The sequence below is a fragment of the Homo sapiens genome, chromosome 11 (genome assembly GCF_000001405.40).
Source record: "Homo sapiens chromosome 11, GRCh38.p14 Primary Assembly".
NCBI classification, from domain to species: Eukaryota; Metazoa; Chordata; class Mammalia; order Primates; family Hominidae; genus Homo; species Homo sapiens.
Window position 1 is genome coordinate 49183761 of NC_000011.10, and position 24166 is coordinate 49207926.

At 34.9% G+C, this 24166-nt stretch overlaps 1 protein-coding gene across 15 annotated transcripts in view; it reads right to left on the minus strand.

The window, feature by feature from the left end:
* Window positions 1–24166, minus strand: part of FOLH1 (folate hydrolase 1) — a 63511-nt gene that overhangs the window by 38669 nt on the left and 676 nt on the right. For 6 of the 15 annotated variants that reach the window (XM_017017434.2, NM_001193472.3, NM_001193471.3 and 3 more), the window contains exons 2-7: window positions 23018–23114; window positions 22307–22412; window positions 16495–16681; window positions 9033–9134; window positions 2884–3009; window positions 1909–2095 (exon numbers count right to left, since the gene is read on the minus strand). In XM_017017434.2, coding sequence (XP_016872923.1) covers window positions 1909–2095; window positions 2884–3009; window positions 9033–9134; window positions 16495–16681; window positions 22307–22412; window positions 23018–23090 — 781 coding nt within the window. In that variant the 5' untranslated portion in view covers window positions 23091–23114. Of the gene's footprint in view, window positions 1–1908; window positions 2096–2883; window positions 3010–9032; window positions 9135–16494; window positions 16682–22306; window positions 22413–23017; window positions 23115–24003; window positions 24136–24166 lie in introns of all 15 variants that reach the window. The other 9 variants (XM_047426681.1, XM_047426678.1, NM_001014986.3 and 6 more) reach the window with 4 other exon arrangements.

Genomic DNA, 24166 nt, shown 5'->3' on the forward strand with positions numbered 1-24166 from the left:
AAAAAATCTACTGTTTGATTCCACTTACTTGAAGTTCAAACCCAGGCAAACGAATACACGATGCTAGATACTAGATAGTGATTGCTTCTAGGGGACACAGAGAAAATTGACCAGAAAGGGGTACAAAAGAACTTTCCAGAGTGATGGAAAGGCCCTTATATTCTATTTTAAGTGACATAAACACATGCAATTTGCAAAATTTATTGAACTGAACTCTTGAGATCTATGTATTTTATTGCATGTAAACTGTACCTCAAAATAAGCACACACATCCTATCATTTCTTCAGACTTAAGAAAAATCAGAGTTGTTTTTCCATTTTTTTCTCTGTTTTTAAAACAATCTAATAAGAAACTTAGGTAACTGCAAATCCTTGTTTTTATGGGTAAAATGACACAATGATATGCTGTGTGGGATTTGTTTTCAAATTCTTTAGAATAATAGCAAAATAAAATTGGAGAGATAAACAAATAAAACAAGATTGACAACATGTTGATGACTGTCTCTACTTTTGTATATGTTAGAATTATGCCATAATAAAAAGTAAAATTAGAAAGAAAATAAAAATGTATAGAGCACAAAATATAATTCAATAAACATTAGCCCCATAGAAATAACATAATTTCTCCCTAAAATACCATCATTCAAATTTGAAGAAAATCAACAGAAACATTCCAGTTAATCTCATTTTATTTTCATTATTTTGACTTTGCATAACTAATAAAGCTTAGGCTAAGCTGCATTTTTTAAAACTTGGAAATAAAAAGGTGGAGCAAATGAAGTTCAGGTAGATTTATATAATTTTACTATAGGGTAATATGTGTCATTTTTTAAAAAAGAAAAAAATCTCTGACAATGTATTATGTTCTAAGAAGATTTACAAAGCCAAAAAAAATACATACTCTTTACAGGAGTCTACAATTTAAGAGTAAAACCAGATGAAGACATAAATGTCATAGAAAACTTGGCAAAGTATTTTATACAAGTTTTAAAAATTTAGTTAGCTTTAAACCACACAAACTTAATGATCACAGATTTTTGTAAACATCATTAAATAGTTGAGCACATTCAAAATAAATTAGCTCCCTTTGTTAATGTTTTACAGGGGAGCCTTTCAGCATAAGACTACTATGTGGACTCTGTGAGCCAGACTGCCTGAATTTGAATCCAACTGCCCATTCAGAGGAGGGGTGATCTTGGGCTGACTTCTAGTCTCACTTTCCTCCCTGTGAATAAGAGATAATAACACCCCCTAGCTTTAGGGTTGTTAATGCAAGTAAAATGCTGGCATTTAGGAAACACTCTTTGAAAGTTATCTCTGTTATCTTACAGAAATGAAGCAATATGCATTTCCTGGGCCCTATATCCTAAATTGGCCATTTAAAAAGTTTATGGAACTTCTGCTCTCCTGTCCCTTACCCACACTGTGAAATCTGTAAATCTGGGGGGAATTTATTTAACAGCAAAACCTGATCTGACCTGAACTCATTTGAAAGCAAAATTTGACTTGAGTAGACATAAGTCTGTTTATATTCCTTATTCCCCGCCCCCCACTTACTACTTAGCGTAAGTATTCATACACTCTGCAACAAAAATATTTATATACTTTTTCCCCATATTCTGTCCCAGCCCCCTATGTCACTGTTATGCAAGTTATGGTATATGTGTAACACCATAATGTTTTTTAAATAGCTGAATAAGTCTGAATTTGAAAGCCCACCAGGCCCAAGTTTCAAAATAAGGGGGTAAGGGGCCTGAACCAATCACTTTAGAGTTCAAAATTCTTTCATTCTTAAATGCAAAGAGAATAAAAAAAGACATGCTTAGTCCATTGTACCAAAGGAAATTCTTTAATAAAGTCTCTTTCAAATGTTAAGTTTCCTATGATATTCAAGGATTGATCATTCACCATTTGCTGGGTAACCTGGTGTGAGAGGGTCTCCTGCACCATTCAGATTTAGGATATTTCCACGCTGGACACCACCTCCAGGAAGATTCCAACCATCTGGATAGGACTTCACCCCAGGAGCAAAGTAGTCAGCAGGGTCGGAGTAGAGAATGACTCCTTTGGCCCCTGCCAGCTGGGCATTTTTAACCTAGAAAACACAGTGTCTTTCTTTCCTTATTTTAAATTGGTTGTTCCAGATTCGGTAATATCAATTTTCAATATTACACTTAAATGAGTACCAGAACTTTATCTTCAACCTTTTCTCATTAGGCCTACAACAAAGGACATCTCGGATAGAATTTCCCTTTTCTTTTTGCTACTATAAGCTCTAAAAATCCTCAGAACATCAGATTTAGAAATGTTCTTATTAGTGGTAGTGAGCATTTGCTATTTCCTACCACTAGCTTACAAATATAATAAGCAAGTAGACCCCACAGGCCAAATTCCTATTTGTTCTACAGTCGAAAGGGAATTTTTTAAAATTTAATTTCCCACTAAAGAGAAAAATATATTAACAAATCAAATGACAGTAATTTTTAAATTTGCTATGTGTAAATTGTTTTCCCTCATTATTTATAACAATTCATACTACAATTTAATTTAGTAAACATTTTTGTAGAAAATATTTAAAACAAAGATACTGAAAGTTAATAATAAACCCAGTGCATGCTTCTTTGTAGGCCACAGCCATAACCTGTAAGCACAGAAAAATTTGTTCTGTTCACTCTAAACATCTACACTGGCCAAATTCCAATGCTCGAATTTAACCCCGGGATATAACCTAGTAAATGTGTCCTCTCTGTAAGGTGGGCATGTCACAGAATACAAGAAAATAATGGTATTCATAAAGTTTTAAGAAAATGATTCTACACATGTAAAACCCACTATAACTTTTTACATTGGGGGAGAGAAAAAAAGAGATAATTTTTACCTTACCTTATTTCCTCTGAAAACTTTCCCATATCTGGCAATTACAATTTTCCCAGAGCAATTGATTTTCATGTCCCGTTCCAATTTAAAGAAGTCTTCAGTTCGTGCATAGTTAACATACACTAGATCGCCCTGTTGAGATCGGGAATGACTTAATATGAGTCAGATATAAAACAAGGAGGTTTTTCTGCATGGGGACTGTTGGACATTTTTGAAAGAGGGAAGAGGTCAGAGCACACAGGAAGGTCAGAAATGCATGAGCTCCAAAGAAGAGATTCAAGGGAAAAATGAATTTAAATTGAGAATGGAATTAGATGGGCTAGAAGCACATGAATAAAGTAATATTTGTTTGTATTTGTCCCATATTTAGTGGCTACGAAGCTGAAGCTACAGAAGCACCCCCCCCACACACACACAGAAAAGCATATACGTGTACACATTGCTGCACGCAACTTGAAGGTGTCCAGATACCCTAGGCTAAGAAGCCCTTAATGAGACCTTTTCTCTCTTCAGTGTGTGTTCACAGGGAGTAGCTTAATGGTTCTTAACAACCACCAAGTAAAGAAAAATGCACAGGTAACATCATTGCTTCACAGGTCTGATTTCAATCATTAAGTGATTATGTGCAAATCTTATAACATATTTGAGTCTCGATATTCTCATTGGCTCAATGATCTGCTAGATTAAATCAGTGATCTTCCAACCTTTTTTGCTCACCTATTCCCTAAATTAATTTTGACAATGTCCCCCTTCATCTAAAATTTAAAATTTTTTATCATACCTTTAAGTAGCTGCAAAGCATGCAATATCTAGCTTACTATAAATATTAATATTTTTAGAAGAAATTGTATACAACTTTTATATTGATCCAAATGATTTAAATACTGTATTTATTTACTATTCAACATCATCAATTTTAAAAAATACATGAACATGCTGTTCTTTACAGTCAAAATTTTGTCATCTCTTTTTTTTTCTTGAACTTGTATATTGTCCATCTTCCCCCACAGAATTTTACTCTAAAGTAAAATATATTTGTGCTGGGCACCAGATGAGCTGTCCAGATTCACGGTCAATGAAGGACTTTTTGCTCCAGCTGCAGGGAAGGCTCTCTGCAGACAATCTTCATCTGTCAGCCCCTTCAAGGATTGCCTCAGCTGTAGACAGCCCCCTTGCTCAAGGTCATGTCCCTTTCTAGAATGCCACACATTCAGTGACTGATTGATGTGAGGGTACAGAGACCTGGACATCTCAGTCTAACGTAGGACAATTCTGAGAAACTATTCCAGACCTCCTTATGGGCTTAGCCAAGGCTATCCTTCAGCTGGCATTGCAGGGTGACTTCTCCCTCTGCCTAATCCAGCTCTGCTTTTCACAGATGTTGATCCCAAGAGAACACTCCACAATTATCAACTAGCATTCTAAATTTCAATTCAGAATCTATTACCTTAAATATGGGTATGCTTGAAAGTCTTTTATTAATCACTGTCAAATTTCCTTGAATCAGTATATCTTTATAAGTCAAATTTTTTAAAAAATTTATTTTTGTGACAGATTGTGTTAAGAAACAGCTTCAAGAGTAAGTTATAATTATAGGCCAGGCATGGTGGCTCATGCCTGTAATCCCAGCACTTTGGGAGGCTGGGTTGGGTGGATCACTTGAGGTTGGGAGTTCAAGACCAGCCTGGCCAACATAGTGAAAACCCATGTCTACTAAAAACACAAAAATCAGCTGGGCGTGGTGGCACCGCCTGTAATCCCAGCTACTCGGGGGCTGAGGTATGAGAATTGCTTGAACACGGGAGGTGGAGGTTGCAGTGAGCCAAGATCATACCACTGCACTCCAGCCCGGGCGACAGAGTAAGACTTGGTCTCAAAAAAAAAAAAAAAAGATAGATTAAGTTATAATTATAATTACTAGCAGTATCAAATTAAGTCTAACAACATCATTGCAATTCTTATATATAATGCATAACCATAAAATTTGATTAGAAATATATCTTTGAATGCAATGAGTGGGACAGTGAAGCGTTATCTTAACACATTTGTTCAGTGGGTGAACAAATTATTGCTAGAATGAGACTGGGATCAGCAACAACAGTTCAATTTACATTTCTTGTTTTTACAGTAAGTTCTGAGAAAACTTGGATAGGAATGAAAGATTTGTTATGGAATTGTTACTAACTTATTTAAACTTCTTTCAAGTTATAATCTGAAAATCACAAATTGATCCATCATTCAAGTGTCTTTTAATGATATTAGCTGGAAACTCAATTGGGTTTACCTTTAATTTTGCTCAATTGTAAACCATTTGAATTGCTAAGAATTTGTTACATAGCTATTAGAACCATTCACTATCTTAACATTGAAAACAATATTTCTAATTGTCTCTTTTTTTGAAGCCCCAGAGATTTTTACAACACAGATATATGCTTCATATTGACTTAGAATGGGTAGGAGATGTTTTTCATTTATAAAATAAGATGAAAATGCTTGTAAATAGGGAGCAGGACCTCACGACAGGCTAGCTTTCAATACCATGAAAAAGCGCACAGGGTAATTGATGATCTGCAAACTGATCTCTTTAAAACCATGTCATGCTTGCCTTTCGAAAGTCTTTACACAGCCTAGTTTGAAACCCCTGTCCCAGATGATTTCCAATATCCTATCATTTTATTTTGGTTATTGTTTTCCTTTTTGACTACATTTTTCATAGCATGTACACGACAAATATACATAAGATATTAAAATAGAATTGTTTCCAAGCTGATTCTAGGATTAATTTGACAAATTGGTGAAGATCTATTATGTGTTAGGCAGTGCCCTATGTAATACAACAAATCTCTGCCCTTGAAGGAACTTACACTGCAGGTCCTCCTTCACTCACAATGGAATTAAGTCTTACTAAACTCACCTAAGTTGAAAATAATTATACACCTAAAGTGTGTTTTTGACTTAGGATATTTTCAATTTATAATGGGTTTATCCAGACATAACCTCATGGTAAGTTGAGAAGTGTATTGAATGAGTATGGCTATTGCACCATCATGAAGTCAAAAAATTTTAAGTAGCCATCTTAAGTTGGGGGTTTCCTGTAATGTGGATGGGATAATACAATAATGAGCATTAAAGTTAATAACTAAGCAAAGCATACATTATATTAAAAGGTGATAAGTAGTATAGAAAAAATTAAAAAGCATTTAAATAGAGTATACAAATGGTGAACTAGAGCTTAAGTGGGTGTAATATTAAATAAAATGAGGAAAGTCTAATTGGGAAACTGACATTTGAATCTTTGCCTCTGTAAAAGGATTACATTTAGCTCTTGTATTTCTTCCTAAGACCAATGTAATATTAATGCACTATTAATCATAACACTATATGTCTGATTTATCATTGTTAACCCTCTCTGGAGCACACTCATTCTATTTTAACTGTGGCTACAAAGTCATTAACCAATGTGATTTCAGCAAAATAATTTTTTTAGTGTAAATATCCTACTTTCTTTACCCTTAATATAAGTAACTTTGAGGAGATTGTACCTTTAAATGTCTCTAAATGTGGCTGTCTTTTGATATATCAGCAATCCTCACAAAACAAACTGTGAGGGAGAGAAAACTGAAAAACATATTAGCTTAAAAATGAGAGTAAACTTTGAAAATGAAAACAAGTGTGACAGATATTCCCTCTCAGCACTTCTCAAATGCAAGTTGTCACTGTTAGAAAAGAGCTTTGTTTTTAGACAAAGACCTTCTTGTACAACTTACACTGTACCATCCATTGTTCTATGACTGTGAATAAATAGAATCTTGCACTCTTAGCCCGGAATTTTCTTTGTTTCCTTAAGCTTCCATCTCCCTAACTCTTATTTATAGAGACAGAATTGGGAGGCAAAACCAGTGATTCTCAAAGATGGTCCTTGGACCCTCAGAAACAATATCACGCTTGTTACAAACACAAACTCTCAGGCTCCACCCCATTAAACTTAGGGAGTGGAAACTAGAATCTGTGTTTTACAAGCCATCCAGATTATTGTGACAGACACTAAAGCTTGAGAACCACTAGATAGACTATATTTTATGAACATCGCAAATTGCTAATTTTAAATAGCATAAAGCAGAGTCCCATATTTCATATTCCACAGGATTCAGACGTAAATTCAAAGATTACTGATCGTGAATTTTTGTTTTGTTTTGTTTTTTGAGACGGAATCTAGCTCTGTCGCCCAGGCTGAAGTGCATACATTTAATTTAAAATAGCTAAAAAATATAAAATATACTTTAAAAATCTTAAATGAATGTGATCTATTGAAGAAGCTGAAGTGTGAAGTGTGAAATTGAAGAACCCTGAAATGTATTGAGCAGTGAAAAGATTATGTATACAAAAACAGGTTGGCCGGGTGCGGAGGCAGGCAGATCACCTGAGGTCAGGAGGCGCGATCTCGGCTCACTGCAAGCTCCACCTCCCGCGTTCACGCCATTCTCCTGCCTCAGCCTCCGGAGTAGCTGGGACTACAGGCGCCCGCCACCACTCCCGGCTAATTTTTTTGCATGTTTAGTAGAGACAGGGTTTCACCGTGTTAGCTAGGATGGTCTGGATCTCCTGACCTCTTGATCCGCCCCCCTCGGCCTCCTAGAGTGCTGGGATTACAGGCGTTAGCCACTGCGCCTGGCCTGTAAAACGTTTTAAACACACATATGGACATACATAGTTTTGAAAGAATTGACATTCCACTGGCTGGGTTACAGATGATCCAGTGAGGAACACCGATCAGCAAACTCATCTGATATTTGAACATAAACAGCAAACCCATACAACATGTGTGCTCTTTGTATTTAGCCATTGATCTGGAAGATTTTAAGTCTATTTGAAGGAAATAAGAGACAACGGTCTTTATAACTCTTTCTTACGATTAATAGTAATGTCAAAGTCCAAAAATTATTTGGAAGATTTTAATTGGGTATGCAGTAAACCTACAAACTAATCTAGGTGTAATTTTCTCCTTATAATATGATGTCTTCTCAGCCAGAAACATAAACGGTTTAACTGTTTTTTCTTTTGTTTTGTTTTGTTTTTCTAAGATGGAGTCTCGCTCTGTCACCTAGGCTGGAGTGCAGTGGCACAATCTCAGCTCACTGCAAGCTCCGCCTCCCGGGTTCACGCCATCCTCCTGCCTCAGCCTCCTGAGTAGCTGGGACTACAGTTGTGTGTCACCGCATCTGGCTAATTATTTTGTATTTTTAATAGAGATGGGGTTTCCCCATGTTGGCCAGGCTGATCTCGAACTCCTGACCTCAGTTGATCTGCCTGCCTCCGCACCCGGCCAACCTGTTTTTTTATACACAGTCTTTTCACTGCTCAATACATTTCAGTGTTCTTCAATTTCACACTTCACACTTCAACTTCTTCAATAGATCACATTCATTTAAGATTTTTAAAGTATATTTTATATTTTTTTAGCTATTTTAAATTAAATTTATTCATTATACTTTCTGCTATCATATACTATCTGGTCTTTTATATTTAGCTTCAATCTGATAATATTAATACTATTTTTAAATAAAAATGTATTGTTAATTTTTGGTATACATAAGTCATGAAGTTATATCACTGTAAATCATAAAGAAGGAGAATATTAATAAAGAAGGCCCAAAGTGCAAAAACATAAGGAAAATAATTTGACAACGTCAAAATTAAGGATCTCTTTTCAACAAAGGAAAACACAGAGTGAACAAAAAGATGAAAAATTAGAATAGGCAAAACTAATTTATGGTGGCAGAAATGTCAAAGAAAGATATCCTCTGGGGTATGTAGAGTTGATTAAGAAGAACCATAAGGGAACTTTCTGAAGTGAAGGTCATATGCTGTACATTGATGGGATTTGGATCACCCAGATGTTGGCATTTGTCAAAAATCAATAAATGTGCATTTGGGATTTGTGCATCTCATTGCAGTAAGTTGTATCTTTAAAAATACCATTAATAAAATATAATCAATATTCCTTCTTCTTACTAAGACATTCTCATTACTTAAATGTGGAAAAATGAATTGGATTACATTAAAAGTCCCTTTATGACCCTTTAATTATCGGCTGAACATATGAAGAGAAGGAAGGCTTCTTTTTGTCATTTTTATTTGTTGCACTGTGTTTTTACCTCTGGCATTCCTTGAGGAGAGAAAGCACTGAAAGGTGGTACAATATCCGAAACATTTTCATATCCTGGAGGAGGTGGTTCAAATAATGATGTGTTGAAAATCTAGAGAAACAAAATATTATAATCAAAATAAAACAGTTAAAGTTTGATTACTGTAATCAAACACAAAAAAAATGAATATTATCTTTTATGTCAGTAGAGGGTGAATGAATCCTTCAGGATTTTGATGATAGTATCAGATACCCAGCACTATGCTAGAAGTTGTGAAGAATTCACGAGATGAATAAATCACAGATTCTGTCCTCAAAATGGTTAGATCTATTCAAGGAAACAAAGCTAAAAAAACCCCACCAATAACTAAAAATCAACCAAATGAAAAACAACAATCATAAAATAAGTAAGTACTATAGAAAGAAAAGCTCAGAGGAGGTAAAAAGATACTCTTCCAAAAGGAATACTATATACTGTAAACTGTGTACTGATAGAAGGAAGAATTAGAAATTTATTTTTTGTAAGTGGCATACATACTAAGCTAGTGTGAACACAAGCCTAAATATGTAGTTGCTTCACAGAAGGTTAGAAGTAAATTAACCTCATGAATTTCTTGAGAGAACTTGTAAGGACTAGCTTTCGATTTTGGAGAAAGATTTTAATCACCAAATAAAAAGTACCTTTGTTTGGTAATCTCAATCATTATAATAGTGCTTAGATAATTACCTAGGAACAAATTAAATATTAAATTTACTTTAAAAAAAAGTACATGATTGGGGAATCCACAACTGGCCTTATCTAGATTCTCTGAACAACATATGCACTGAAAAGAATGAAAAACACTGAACCAAATATATGTTTTTTTAAGTTTAAAATTAAATTGGAAAAAAAATAGTAAGGAATATTCAGAAGCAAAAAAATAAAATGAAAGCAAGAATCCTCAGAGGTAGCACGAAATTTGGCTTTGCCTTAGATGGATCTATCAAAGCCTATGGCCCCATGAAAAGGATTCAGGAGTTAGTTTAAAGCTGGTTCACATAATGGAATCTAGCAGAAGACTGTGCATAAAGCTGGTCTAAGAACAACAATATCCTGGCCAGGTGAGGTGGCTCACGCCTGTAATCCCAGCACTTTGGGAGCCCAAGGTGGGTGGATCACGAGGTCAGGAGTTTGAGACCAGCCTGACCAACATGGTGAAACCGCGTCTCTACTAAAAATACAAAAATTAGCCGGGCCTACGTGCTTGTAATCCCAGCTACTCAGGAGGCTGAGACAGGAGAATCACTTGAACCCAGCAGGCAAGCTTGCAGTGAGTGGAGATCATGCCACTGCACTCCAGCCTGGGTGACAAAAAAAAAAAAAAAAAAAAAAAGAACAACAATATCCTTCAGGGTTAAGGATAAATTCAAAATAAACTTGCTCCATGGAAAGTAATGGCTTAGCGTAAAGCAGGAAAAAAGGGTTCCAGATAATTCATAACCCTACAAATTTCCATTCACTGTTTATATAGTATGCCTCAAGCGAAAATATTTATTTTAAAGCAGTGCCAGGTTTGTAGTGCTCCCTGGGGCCTAAGAGAAATGATCAGGAGGAATCAGCCTTCAAATTAGCCTTAAAGAATTCCCAAATTCTTATTACTATCATATTAATAAACATATTTATCAAGTTTATGAAACAAGACTGAATTAAAATTATGCATATAAATTGGTAATATATAACAAAAGTGAAAGTGTTCTAAGGTTTCTATATTGTAGAAATATTGATTGAATTATGACACCAAAGCTTTAGGGGAAAAAAGGAAGAGTAAAATTCACACTAGAGGAAGGTAAAAGTGACCTAAATATTGTATATCAGAATTATAAAAAATGAAAATGGAAAAAAGAATAATTAAAAAGCGTAGCATGTCTAAATAAAATCAGCTGTGTACCAATTGACAAGCAGTGACATAAACCCGCTGAAAAAGAAATACCAAACAAATATTAATTAAAAAAAATTTTAGGACAAAGTCAAATAACATTATGACGAGATAAAAAAGGCTACTACATAAGTATAAGTCTGTCATTTCATCAACAATTCTGTTTATATATGATAATAGGTCTCCAAATTATACATAACATAAATTTATGGAATTATAAATTTTATATATATAGTATAAAACAGACATCACTATAGTGAGGTGAGATAATTTAACATTTATCTCTAATTAATAAAGGAAGCAGACAAAATGAGAGAGCACATTAAGGATAATGGAGATTTCAGCCAAATAATAAGCAAACTCAAACTAATGTACAAATACAAAATATTAAACCAAACAACCATCAAATACATGTTTTTCCCAAAGAAACACAGAACGTCTATAAAAACTGAGCACATATTAGGTTCCAAAGGAAGCCTCAACAATTGTCAAAGGATTAGTGTCCTACAAACCACATTATCTGATCTCAATATATTCAATTTAGAGATCAGATCAAACAAATAACAATAACAATCTTTATATTCAGGATTTTAAAAAATACTTGTAAATAGTTGCAGGATCAAAGAAGAAAATACAGAAATTAAAAAATATTTAGATACTAATGATAATTAAACTACTCCTAATCCAAATTTGTGAGATGTAGTTGAAGTGGAAAGGGAAGTTAAAGGGGAAATTTATGGCTCTAAATACTCATAATAGAAATGAAGAAAGACTGAATGTCAATAAGTTAAGCATTCTACTGAGGATTTTACAAAGAACAGCAAAGTAAACACAAAGAAGATAAAAGAGGCAATTATAAAACAAGAACAGAATTAATAAAATATAAAGCAAAGATAGATGAGAAAAGATTGCCAAAGCCAAAGTTTATTCTTTGGATACACTAGTAAATTTGACATATCCCTCTCAAGAGCAATAAGAAAAAAAAATAGCAAAAGCGCAAACAAATAATATTATTTATTAAAAAGAGGCACATCTACAGACGCTGAACAGATTACAAAAGATAAGAAAATACTAGGAACAACTATACTATAAATTTGAAAGCTTACATCAAATGGAAAATGCATTTTAAATAAAACTTATGAAAACTGACATAAGAATACATTTTTTAAAAAATCGGCCAGGCACAATGGCTCACGCCTGTAATCCCAGCACTTTGGCAGGCCGAGGCGGGTGGATTACAAGGTCAGGAGTTCGAGATCAGCCTGGCCAACATAGTGGAACCACGTCTCTACTAAAAATACAAAAATTAGCCGGGTGCGGTGGCTCATGCCTGTAGTCCCAGCTACTTGGGAGGCTGAGGTGGGAGAATTGCTTGAACCCGGGAGGCGGAGGTTGCAGTGAGCTGAGACCATGCCATTACACTCCAGCCTGGGTGACAGAGTAAGACTCGGTCAAAAACAACAAAAAAATCTAGTTGTATAGCCATATAACAATAAAGTCATATATCAAGCAATAAAAATTGTTCTATGACATAAAATTATCATATGACAAACAATAAAGTCATTTAACAAACAATAAAAATTGTTATATGACGTAAAATAGTCATATTACAACCAATAAAGAAATTAAACCAGTAGTTTAAAATTTTCCACAAACAGAGTCAAGGCCAACTGGTTTTCCTTGAGTTTGAAAGGTTAAAGGAAAAAATAATTTAATTGCAATAAAACCTACTTCAGAAAATATTAAAAACCCAACTCATTTTAGAAGGCAAGTAGAATATTGAAATTATAACCCAACAAATAGATTGCAAAAACACAGACTAAACATGCTATGAGTATAAACATAATATATATCAATATATGAATTTAAAACCCTAATGCTAATATTACAAGTTCAAAAAATATAAGATTATTCTAACATTAGAATACACTGAATGTCATCTTCAGATCAAGAAAGAAAAATCGCATGCTCATCTTAAAGAAAAATGTGTTTAATATAAATCCATACAGCAAAAAATTTTAGTATATGTGGAAAGGATGTACTTTAAGATAACCAGAAAAAGAAAACAGTAAATACCATAATTAATGGTGAGAAAGAATTAAAGGTATTTCCTTCAAGACCAGAAGAAAGTTAAGGATATCTGCTATCAAAACTTCTTTTCAACATTATATTGTATAGGTCTTGGTCAGTGCAGTAATACAAATGGGAGGGATTTGGAGATGAGGAGGGGATCTGGGCAGATTTTACATTGTACTGACTAGAGCAGTAGTTATTTCCCTTTTCTGACATGGATAGAAGCTAAAATGAAACCAAATCAACTACGACTTGCCACATCCCCACATATTCCAAATTTCCCATATTTTTTTCTGTGATTCACATGAGAAATGAACTCATCTGAATCACTAGGTAAGATTAAAAGAAAAATTATGCTGAGGTGCAATAAAAATCAATAAAGGAACAAAGTCATTATATAAGCATGTCTTTCAGGCAAGGGAATATTCAAACTTGTCTCACTTGATTTGCCTTTATGGTAATCAATTTTGCAGCACCACTATGCCACACTGAATTTTACAGCAAGTTTATGAGCTATTCTAACAAGTAAGAAAAGTTTTTAATGTCAAGGAAATGCCTTTTTGGTTGACTTTATCAAAGTTAGATTAAATTTCAGTCTTAGAGTATTTTTTACTTTCCAAAATGCACTGGTAGCCTCAAATTATATATTCTGAGTATAACTAAAACAATATTAGTTTATAATTTCTGTTTACATTTTGTGACATAAAAAAGTCAATATATAGTTAAATCTTTATGGGATGTTATTTCTGCATAATCAAAGGTGAAACAATGTCTCTGTATACATTAAAAATATTTCTCATAGGATCCACAAAATACTAATCATATTTGTTGCCTACGGATGGAGAACTTGTCTGTTTTGTGCAGGGGTATAAAAGAAATCATAGTTTACCACATAGCTCAGCTGTGAACTGTTATTCATAACAATTAAATTGTACTGGGAGATGGGAGGTAGTAAGAGAACATGGTGGTTGGGGCCAAGGGATGAACAGGGAGCTGACTTGTCACAATGTCAATAGATAATGCCTGCATCTGAAATAAAAGCCATATAAGCATGTAATTTATAGAAATAGATGTAAATATAAAAAGAATTAACTTATAGTTGAATAATGATTGCCTCTGGAAAGAGGAAAATAGAGAAAAAGCAAGGCACTCAGGAAAATTATGTGGTTATGTACATATATAACTTGGATAAAAATAAAAAAGAACTAATGATATAAATTTAAAAAATTAAGAAACTAGGTATCTAACACTATTCAGGAAAATCTCCCAAGTGAAACTTTTACATGATTCATTTTGTATTATGTAACAGGCTTTGGTAACATTATGCATGTTTGTAATACAAAAGTAAATAATGAAATAAAATAAGCAATGGTATAGTCAAAACTGGGAAGTGAGGAGGAACGAAAAAAGAAGAAAAAAACGACAACATAGCAAGACCCCATCTTAAAAAAAAACTAACCAGCACTTTGGGAGGCCGAGGCGGGTGGATAACGAGGTCAGCAGATCGAGACCATCCTGGCTAAAACTGTGAAACCCCGTCTCCACCAAAAATACAAAAAAATTAGCCGGGCGTCGTGGCGGGAGCCTGTAGTCCCAGCTACTAGGGAGGCTGAGACAGGAGAATGGTGTGAACCCGGGAGGCGGAGCTTGCAGTGAGCGGAGATACCGCCACTGCACTCCAGCCTGGGCGACAAAGCGAGACTCCGTCTCAAAAAAAACAAAAACAAAAACTAAAATATATTATATGTCTGCTCTTTTCCACATTGTACCTAGACAATTCTCAAATTTGATAGATCAAAGAGACGTTTAAGCATATGTATACATTTTAACATTGTCAATATTTTATTTCTTTAAATAAATTTTCTGAACATGTTTTAAAGACCCCTCGGTATTTAACTGTATAGATATGCCACCACTTATTTAACAAACATTCTGAGACTATATGACGTGTAGTGGTATTGCCTTTTCAATATAATATATTTTAGGGTTTTTTTAGTTTGTTTTTCTTTTTTTTTTTTTTCCTTTTAAGGTGGAGTCTTGCTATGTTGTTCAAGCTGGTCTGCAACTCCTGGCTCCAGCAATCATCCTATCTCAGCCTCCCAAGTAGCTGAGATTAGGGGAACATGCCACCACGCCTGGCTTAATAATATTTTTTAAAGTTATATTGTTAACTACTATGATTGAGAACAGTAGTTAATATGAAAAGCTCCAATCACATTAGAAAATTTAGTATGGAATTATATCACTGACTGTAAAACATAACAACATATTAATCATTAAGAAGAGACTGATTCATTAGTCAATAAAAGGAGGTTATTGACCTACTATGAAAAAAAATTATATATGTACTTAAATCACATGACATTTTCAGTTCACTGATCAAACTGGACATATTTCAAGCTACATGTAATTAAGAGTGCCCAGTAATAAAAGGACTAAAGGAACTTACCTAAATAGAAATGGACTCTTCTACATACGGTAGCTCTAAAACTGAGGTATGTTAAGTAAGGATGAATGTATGTTATATTTTGTGATCTTTCATATTGAACATACATCATAATAAATATATCAATTTATCTGCATTGTCTTCTCTTTCTCAAGTATATGCCCCAACTTGCAAACAAGATTGCAAATTCTTTAAATACCATGCTAAAATACCTTGCCTCCAAACTTGTCCTCTCCAAATGTCCACACACAAATTCTTCGCACAGAGTTCAACCTGATCAATTGAGACATAATCATTAAGTACCAATAAAAACTTGCTGGGTCAAACTGCATACTGGATCCGTGCATTTCCCAGCAACTCCAAATCTGTGCAGTGTCTTTATAAATTAAACCTATCAAAAATGTATCTCCTGGCCAGGCGCAGTGCCTCACACGTGTAATTCTACAACTTTGGGAGGCTGAGGCGGGTGGATCACCTGAGGTCAGGAGTTCGAGACTAGCCTGGCCAACATGATGAAACCCTGTCTCTATTAAAAATACAAAAATTAGCTGGGTGTGGTGGTGCACACCTGTAATCCCAGCTACTCAGGAGACTGAGGAAGGAGAATCCCTTGAACATGGGAGGTGGAGGTTGCAGTGAGCCGAGATGGCACCACTGCACTCCAGCCTGCCTGACAGGAGTGAAACTCCATCTGGAAAAAAAAAAAAGAAAAAAAGAATCTCTTTTATAAAGTATCTCTTTTTATGCTTGGAGGTTTACAAGTATATCATATTTGATATTGGTGTGTAGTACTAAAAACTAAAAAACAGCAGCTGTTATCAAGCATTAATTTCTCGAATCTTTCTAAAACACAGTAAACTCAAACATCATAGGAAAGTAGTTGACACGGATAATGAGATATTAAAGGTATTCACAAGATCCAATAATATTGATTTCTATTAATATTTAGAGATGGGATAGAACATTATTTCATAGAAGGTATTTGAAAAAGAATAAATGGGGGGAATGTTTCTTTTATTTATTTATTTATTTTTTACCTCATTTCCATCTTCATTAATTATTGAGATGTAGTTGGGATGAGTCTTATTTGGGTAGGACAACAGGACATCATAATGTGCTAGCTCAACAGAATCCAGGCCAAATTCTTTCCACTGGGATTGAATTTGCTTTGCAAGCTGAAAGTTTTGTTCTGTTCCTGCTAAATGTGGTATCTGTGTAAAATTACTGGTGAACAAAAATTGAAAGTGGTTAGATATTAATGTTTAATCAACTTTTATTCCAAATCAACAAAGTAAAGCAGAGTTACACAAAAGTACTTTGAAGTGTGATACGTTAAAAAATTAAAGTGGTAGTATTATTGCATGAAATAGATTTTCAAAGTCTGCTTTGAAATTTTTATGCTCTAATTTGTACTAAATCAAGAGAAAAATCGGAGAAACTGATTTTTGTATCATTATGTGTAATCCTATTACTATAACCTCGTATGGTAGATTATCATATTCTTTCTTAAGACCTATACTTCTTGGAACTTACATGGAATTATCTGTTTATATCACTGTGTAAAATATTGAAACAGACAAAAATATTTTATCCAAAAGATCAAGGTGTAACATGGCAAGAATTACTAATAATTACATTTATTTAAATACTGAGAGTTATAGACAAGTGATAAACTTTTTGATTAGCAACCATTTATAAAGTATCTTCATCAAAGAATAATCTGAACATACCGATACAAGTTCAGAATGAATCTCTTGCACTCCATCTATCATACAGAGTGACACACTTAAAATCAATGACAATAATTAGTCTGAAGAGGAATATCTTTAACAAAGAAATTATGTGGCCAAAATTTGGCTACCAGAAATATTTTCAGGAGTAGACTAATTTCTCATTTAATATATTTAGATTCTGGTGCTTTTGATTGTTTTAAATTTCTCCCTCCTGGGAAATTTCTTGTTTCCCTGAAGAGCTCATTGGTAAGTATTTTTAACTTAAGCCCTTAAATACATGACAAGATATTATGTAGCATGAAAAGATATATATATATATATATATATAGTTCATAAACTTTTGGAACTTCATAAATTTCTAGTTTTAAATATGTAGCTTTATAAAATCAACATAATTCCATCCTTATGGTGATTTAAAAAAACTAATAACCAACATGACTATGATAATTCCAGTTTCAAGTTTCATTCTACCATGTATTTTAATTTTTTTTATTTGATGAATCAACAATGAATTAAAGTAACTCAATTTTTTAAAATTGGAATTTCCTGTAACTTGTTTACTTTAATAATTATATTAAAGTTATTTAAATTGTATTTATAAAAATAGTATTAAAATCCTCGTTTGGTAAATGTTTAGGGGCAAAATATCTTACACAGAATTTCTAATATGGAAAATATTGTAACAAAAAGGACACAAACATAAGAGGCAGCTAAGGAGTCTCTATCCCTTATCAGTGAGCACCTGCAGGGAAAACAGAAAAACAGCCAACATATCGCTATTTTCTTGAATATTACAAAGATCACAAACTGCAATGTAACTAATGTAGGATGCAGATATCCTGAAGTGCCAGCTATGCCTCTGTCCCTATAAGCAAAAGGAATTACTATGGGGAATCTTGAACCTACTCACAAAAAAGTGGGAGAAAATCATTATAAGGCTTTGCTACTATTAAGTGAATTTTCTTGTAACAGTCTTGTCACTACCAACTAGGAAACAACATTTTGCTATTATCAGGGTTGGGACTCACTCATTTGAACAAAACACATCCTGGAAAAGATTAGTAGGAGAAAAAAAGATCCATTGCAAACACTAAATAAATTAATTAGCATAAATCATGTACGTGGTATAATACAGGTGTTGTCATTAACTCAGTATGTAACCCTAGCTGTGTCTTGAGTTTCTCATCTGTATATGGGGAGAACATCACTGTCTCACTACTTCACAAAGACTTGAGGCTCAATTAGATTGCGTATTAAATAGCACTTCTCAATGATTTTAATCATTTGAGATGTGTGTCACAAGTTGTTGAACCTACCAGAATATCAAATTTTGTAAAAAATAAACAAGAATAAGAATAAAAATATGAATTTACAAATTTTCCCAAATAGCCAAATTCTGTTTATATATCACTGTAGGGCTGCTTTAAATGTGTTTCTAGTATTGTCACATTATCTCTTTTTTTTTTGTAAGAGACAGAGTCTCATTCTGTTGCCAGGCTGGAATACAGTGGTGCAATCATAGCTCACTAAAACCTGGAACTCCAGCTTCCTGAGTAGATAGGACTACAGACACATGCCACCATGCCCAGATAAGTTAAAAAAATATTTTGTAGAGACAGAGTCTCACTCAAGGCATCTGCCTGCCTTGTCCTCCCAAAGAGCTGGGATTACATGGGTGAGCCACTATGCCCGAATACATTATCTCAGTCCTTTAAAAGAGCTACTGTTGTTTCTGTTTCAGTACATTTCATCTTGTTTACAAATAATTTGGCAGTGTTTCCAAGACTTCAAGATGACGAAGGTATTTAGTAAAAGGTGGAATTAGCTGGGCACGGTGGCATGTGCCTGTAGTACTACCTACTGGGGAGGCTGGAGCTCCAAGCTGCAGTGAGCTATGATTGTGCCACTGCACTCCAGCCTGGCAACAGAGTGAAACCTTGTCTGAAAATAATAATGATAATAATAATTGAGATAATGTGACGATACTTGGAATATATTTAAACCAGTCTGAGAGAGATCTATGAATGGATTTTTGCTATTCTGGAAAATGTGTAAATTCTTATTCTTACCTTTTCTTTTTAACAAAATTTGATATTCTAGTATCAACAAATTACTTGTGACACACATCTCAAGTGATTAATAGATTAAGAAGTGTAGTTTAATATGTGATTTCATTGGGCCTATATATTCAAATACAGACCTATGTATTCAAATACAGACCAGTAAAATTCTGAGACCAAAAGTCTAAAACACCTTTTAAAACAATCTTATCTTGCAAAACAATGTGGAAAAGGAAGAATCCCTCTAGAGAGATGCAAAATGGTAAACAGATCTGTGAATTCAACTGGGTGTTTTCAAAGAAGGGAAAACACAGACAACCCTGTACATCAAGGCAGAGTGAAAAAAAGCTGCTCCTAATTAATCTTCCCATTCACTACTGAGGCAGATATTTCAGAGGCAGTGGGGGCTTTTAAGAGCAGAACAAAAGATTTTAAAGGGGGACCAGATGGAAGGTCAGAGGTTTTAATAGTCTCTGACCCATGGGTATATTTTAATTGAAAGCTCTCTGATGGACAAATGGCAAATTGAAAATCTGGAGAGTTTAGGAGGCTTCTGGAGATTCTGTGGTCCTTGGAGGAATGAGAGGGAATTCTTTCAATTTCTTTCTTTTGTGTGTTTATGCTGAATATCCCCCTGTGTTCTGGTTAGAGGAGCTTGGTTAGAGACATGGAGAATAAACAAGAAGCTGACTGCTTAATCTTGCTGAGGGTCCAAAAAGAGAAATAAAGGCATTTATTTTTCTTCTTTGTTGGTCAATCTATGTCACAAGTTAGTGTTACAAGTAGTTAGACAGGAGCAAGTCAGGAGGGGGCTCTCCCCCCACCCTCTAGAATGTCAGGTGATGGTTCAGTTCAGCATTGATCGCATTGCCTCTCTAAAAATGATTTAGCAGTGCCAGGGAGAGGCCAGCTCTTGATGGTCCACACCTGTTAACACCAAAATGTTAACTGAATGCAGACTCCAGGGAGAAGCAACTTCCTGGGCATGCGTGTTAGAGACAAAAATGGTATAGTATAATCTTCCAGGTACACTCCACCAGAAAAAGGAAGAGAGACTCAGATGGGCCTGTGTATACTTCCCTAAACACATTGCGGGTGCTCTTTTCCCAAGGGTTAGGAGGGCTGGGCAGCCCACCCTAAGAGAAGAATCATGGGAAAGAGGCAAGCGTAAAGAAGTCCTACGATCACAGTTAAGTGGGGCACTTGGCCTTCTCTCACCTTCATGTGCCTGCTTGGCTCTCTTCCAAGCACACCTTCCTTTCTTTCCTGTTATAAGGCCTTTTAAAATAAACTTCCATTCCTGCTCTGAAACTTGCCTTGGTCTCTTTTTCTGCTTTTGCCCCCAGTTGAATTCTTTCTTCTGAAGAGGCAAGGACTGAAGTTGCTGCTGACCTTATGGATAGGCTGCTGATAACTTGGAGTAACTTGGATCTCTTCCACCACTAATATTGGGAAAGGAAGAAAGCTGGAACAGCAGCTCTGTCAAGGAGTAAAGACCATACCTTGCCAGACCTCCACTTTTATTATACCTACTATACATTATTAGAGTGGAATAAGCACAACAGGCAGAGGAGGGTTTTCCACAAAGATAAAGAAGTTCGAGCTTCAGAGTCTCACATTTAAAACGGCCCTTCCAAAGACCTGAGAGGTATCCTATCAATTTGTATTTATACTTTTAATTCTGTTGTAATTAATACAAACATATATATGTTTGTATGATTATATGTGTGCACATCTATGCATACCTATGTGCATGTGTGTGTGTGTAATGGTCTTTTAATTTAGAATTACAACCTTTATTCACCAGCGAATCCTGCAATCATTAGAGGGACTTCAAGTATTTTAGGACACATGAGCTAACTCAATTTGTAAAAATTCACAAAAGGATCTCATGCTTAAAAAAAAAGCAAGTATTCTGGGCTGGGTGTGGGGGCTCACACCGGTAATCCCAGTACTTTGGGAAGCCGAGGCGGGCAGATCACCTGAGGTCAGGAGTTTGAGACCAGCTTGACCAACATGGAGAAACCCTGTCTCTATTAAAAATACAAAATTAGCTGGGTGTGGTGGTGCATGCCTGTAATCCCAGGTACTCAGGAGGCATGAGAATCGCTTGTACCTGGGAGGCGGAGGTTACAGTGAGCTGAGATCACGCCATTGCACTCCAGCCTGGGCAACAAGAGCGAAACTCCATCTCAAAAGAAAAAAGGAAAGAAAAGAAAAGAAAAAAAAACAAGTATTCTAATCAATTATATATAGTAATTCTATATAAGTATTTTCTTTTTGGTTGCTTTTTAAATTTACTTATTTATCTCTTTCGTCCTACACTGGAAATAGCTATTTCAGGAAGTAGGGAGCTAGTTTTTAAAATATGCCAAATTTATGCTAAATATATGCTCTTTGACTTCATCCATATCATAATAAGATCATTATTCCCATTTTACAGATGTGGAAAAGAGAGCTCAGAAAGGTTAAGTATTCATCCAAAGTATTAATAGGCAAAGATGGAATTCAAACTCAATTCTAACTCAAAGTCCATTTTTTTAACTGAAATGCAATATCTTTCTCTAAAGCATTAATCAGCAAACTAGGTTCCACTGGCCAAATCTGGACCACTAACTGTTTCTGTACAGTCCACAAGCTAAGAATGGTTTTTATATTTTAAATTGGTTTTAAAAATAATATTTTTGACACATCAATTATATGAAATCCAAATTTCAGTGCCCATAAGGAAAGTTTTATCAGAACTGACTGTTTATGTATTTTCTATGACTTCTTTTGTGCTGCAATAGCAGAGCTGACTAGATGTGACACAGATCAGCTGGCCTACAAAGGCTGGTCCTTGTACAGAAAAAGTTTGCTGACTCCTGCTCTAAACCTCTGTAATGACAAAATTTAGCTGAAAGTATAGTCCTCCTCAGATGAAATGTGATCCAAGATCTTTAATAAATAAAATTTTAAGAAAAAAGTCCAGTTCCTATATATAAAATATTGGACCAAAACAGAATGATAAATTTTTCTAACAACTTGTCCATATAAACTTTCGAGGATGTACTTACTATAAGAACTTCTTGATGTTCTCAGCTTTCAATTCATCCAAAAATGCTTTCATATTATGCTTTGGAGTAATGTTAGTAGCTTCATTGGAGGATTTTATAAACCACCCTGAAAAATACATCCAAAAATAGGCATGAGATACGAGCCTATAGATAGGACTTATTTTTCATTATTGTTGTATGTATTATTTGTAAAACACAAATTATCAATATTACCTCTGACATTAGGTGAGATATTTCTGAATTTTAATTTCTCTTGCCTACTTTCACTGAAAAAGAGTCATGCAAACAGATTTTTAAGTTGCAAACCAATTGCAAAATATTTCTTATCCAACTTCAATGATAGGTATTGCTGTTATTCTAAGAAATGTTTTATGAGATAATCAGGACGAAAATAAAATGACATTAATGTTTCAACTAATGGGTGTAAACGAGATGTTCTGAAAATGAAGGCAAAAAGGAGATCCACCTTCTACTTTCATAAAGTTTCTATCTTCCTCTGCTGACTCAAATAAGCATTTAATACATTTTTATAACGAATTAATTATGAATATATTTCAAATAAATAAATTATTTCCAAGTGTTGAAGGAAATTCAGACTTCTAATTTGCTCTGATTCTGAAACTAAAACAAAATGCTGTGAGAGTTTGCGTTTCCAGTGAAGTAGGCGTGAGAAATCCAAGTTCAGACAGCTACAATGAAACTACAATTTACCCAGCCTCTCTGCCAGACACCCAGTGCACGCATAGGCGGCCAGAAACAATGGATAGCTAGATCCTGCAGTCATTAGACCTTGCAGTTGGCTTTTAACCTGAAGGAGATAAGGCAAGATTCCAGGGTTTATTTAGAGAAATTACAGGATCTGGGAATAAAGTAGTTACAAAATTAGTCCCCAACCAGCTTTCATGGAGCTTTCCAATTATTAATTATTCTAGTTCTTAATCGCATGCATACAAATGCACATACATATATACATGCATATTAAAATACATGATTGCACGCAAACGGAAATAAGATTCCACCTGTGCATAAAACAGAAAGACTTGGATTAGAGTGAGGGATCAGGAAACACCACACTGAGGACGAGATGCTTGAACTGAGATCTGAAAAATGAACAGGATGAAGAGGATGGAGGCCTGTAGGGGGAGGGGAGAGCAGAGAATCCTAGTGGGTGGGGGGCGGACATCAATAAAGAACTCTTCTGTGTCAGCCACTGAGCACGGAATACAGGGATGAGAGTGAGGGCAATACCAGGAAGAATAAAATCCTTTTAAGAGATGAAGATTGTTATGAGCACAGTGTGTGGTTCAAAAATCTTTTAACAACCCCAAGGTGAAGCTAGTGGAAGATATTGAATTTGTTTAAACCCATCTGGTCCATGCCCTGTTCTTCTAAATCCCGAAAGAGGGTCAAGAATTCCGAGCAGGAGTGGACTACCTGGTGATACCTTAGACTAGTCCTGTGTATTAAAGTCCAATGAGGAGTATCTTGGTAAAAGAAGAAATAAAGTGGCGAAAATCCCAGTACTGTGCTAGGAGATTTACATGCTATATTATTTACTATTACCAATAATTTGCAGATAATATTATCCTCATCATAAAATAGGGTAACTAACGCTGAGAGGGACTCGGTAACTTGTTCAAGGCCACTAAGAAGTGGCAAAGTCAAAACTGGAATTTAATAAAAGAGTCTGAGCTTGCCTGTGTGGTTCTGCTTTTCTTAGAAAGTTGGATCAAGTCTGCAAATCAGTACCCAGGAAAAACAGCAAAAGACCCGCTGGTAAAGACCTGTCCAGATTGCTGACCTGGTTCACACAGTTCCCAAGCTTGCCTCTGTTACTTCCAAGGAAGAAAGAATGCACAG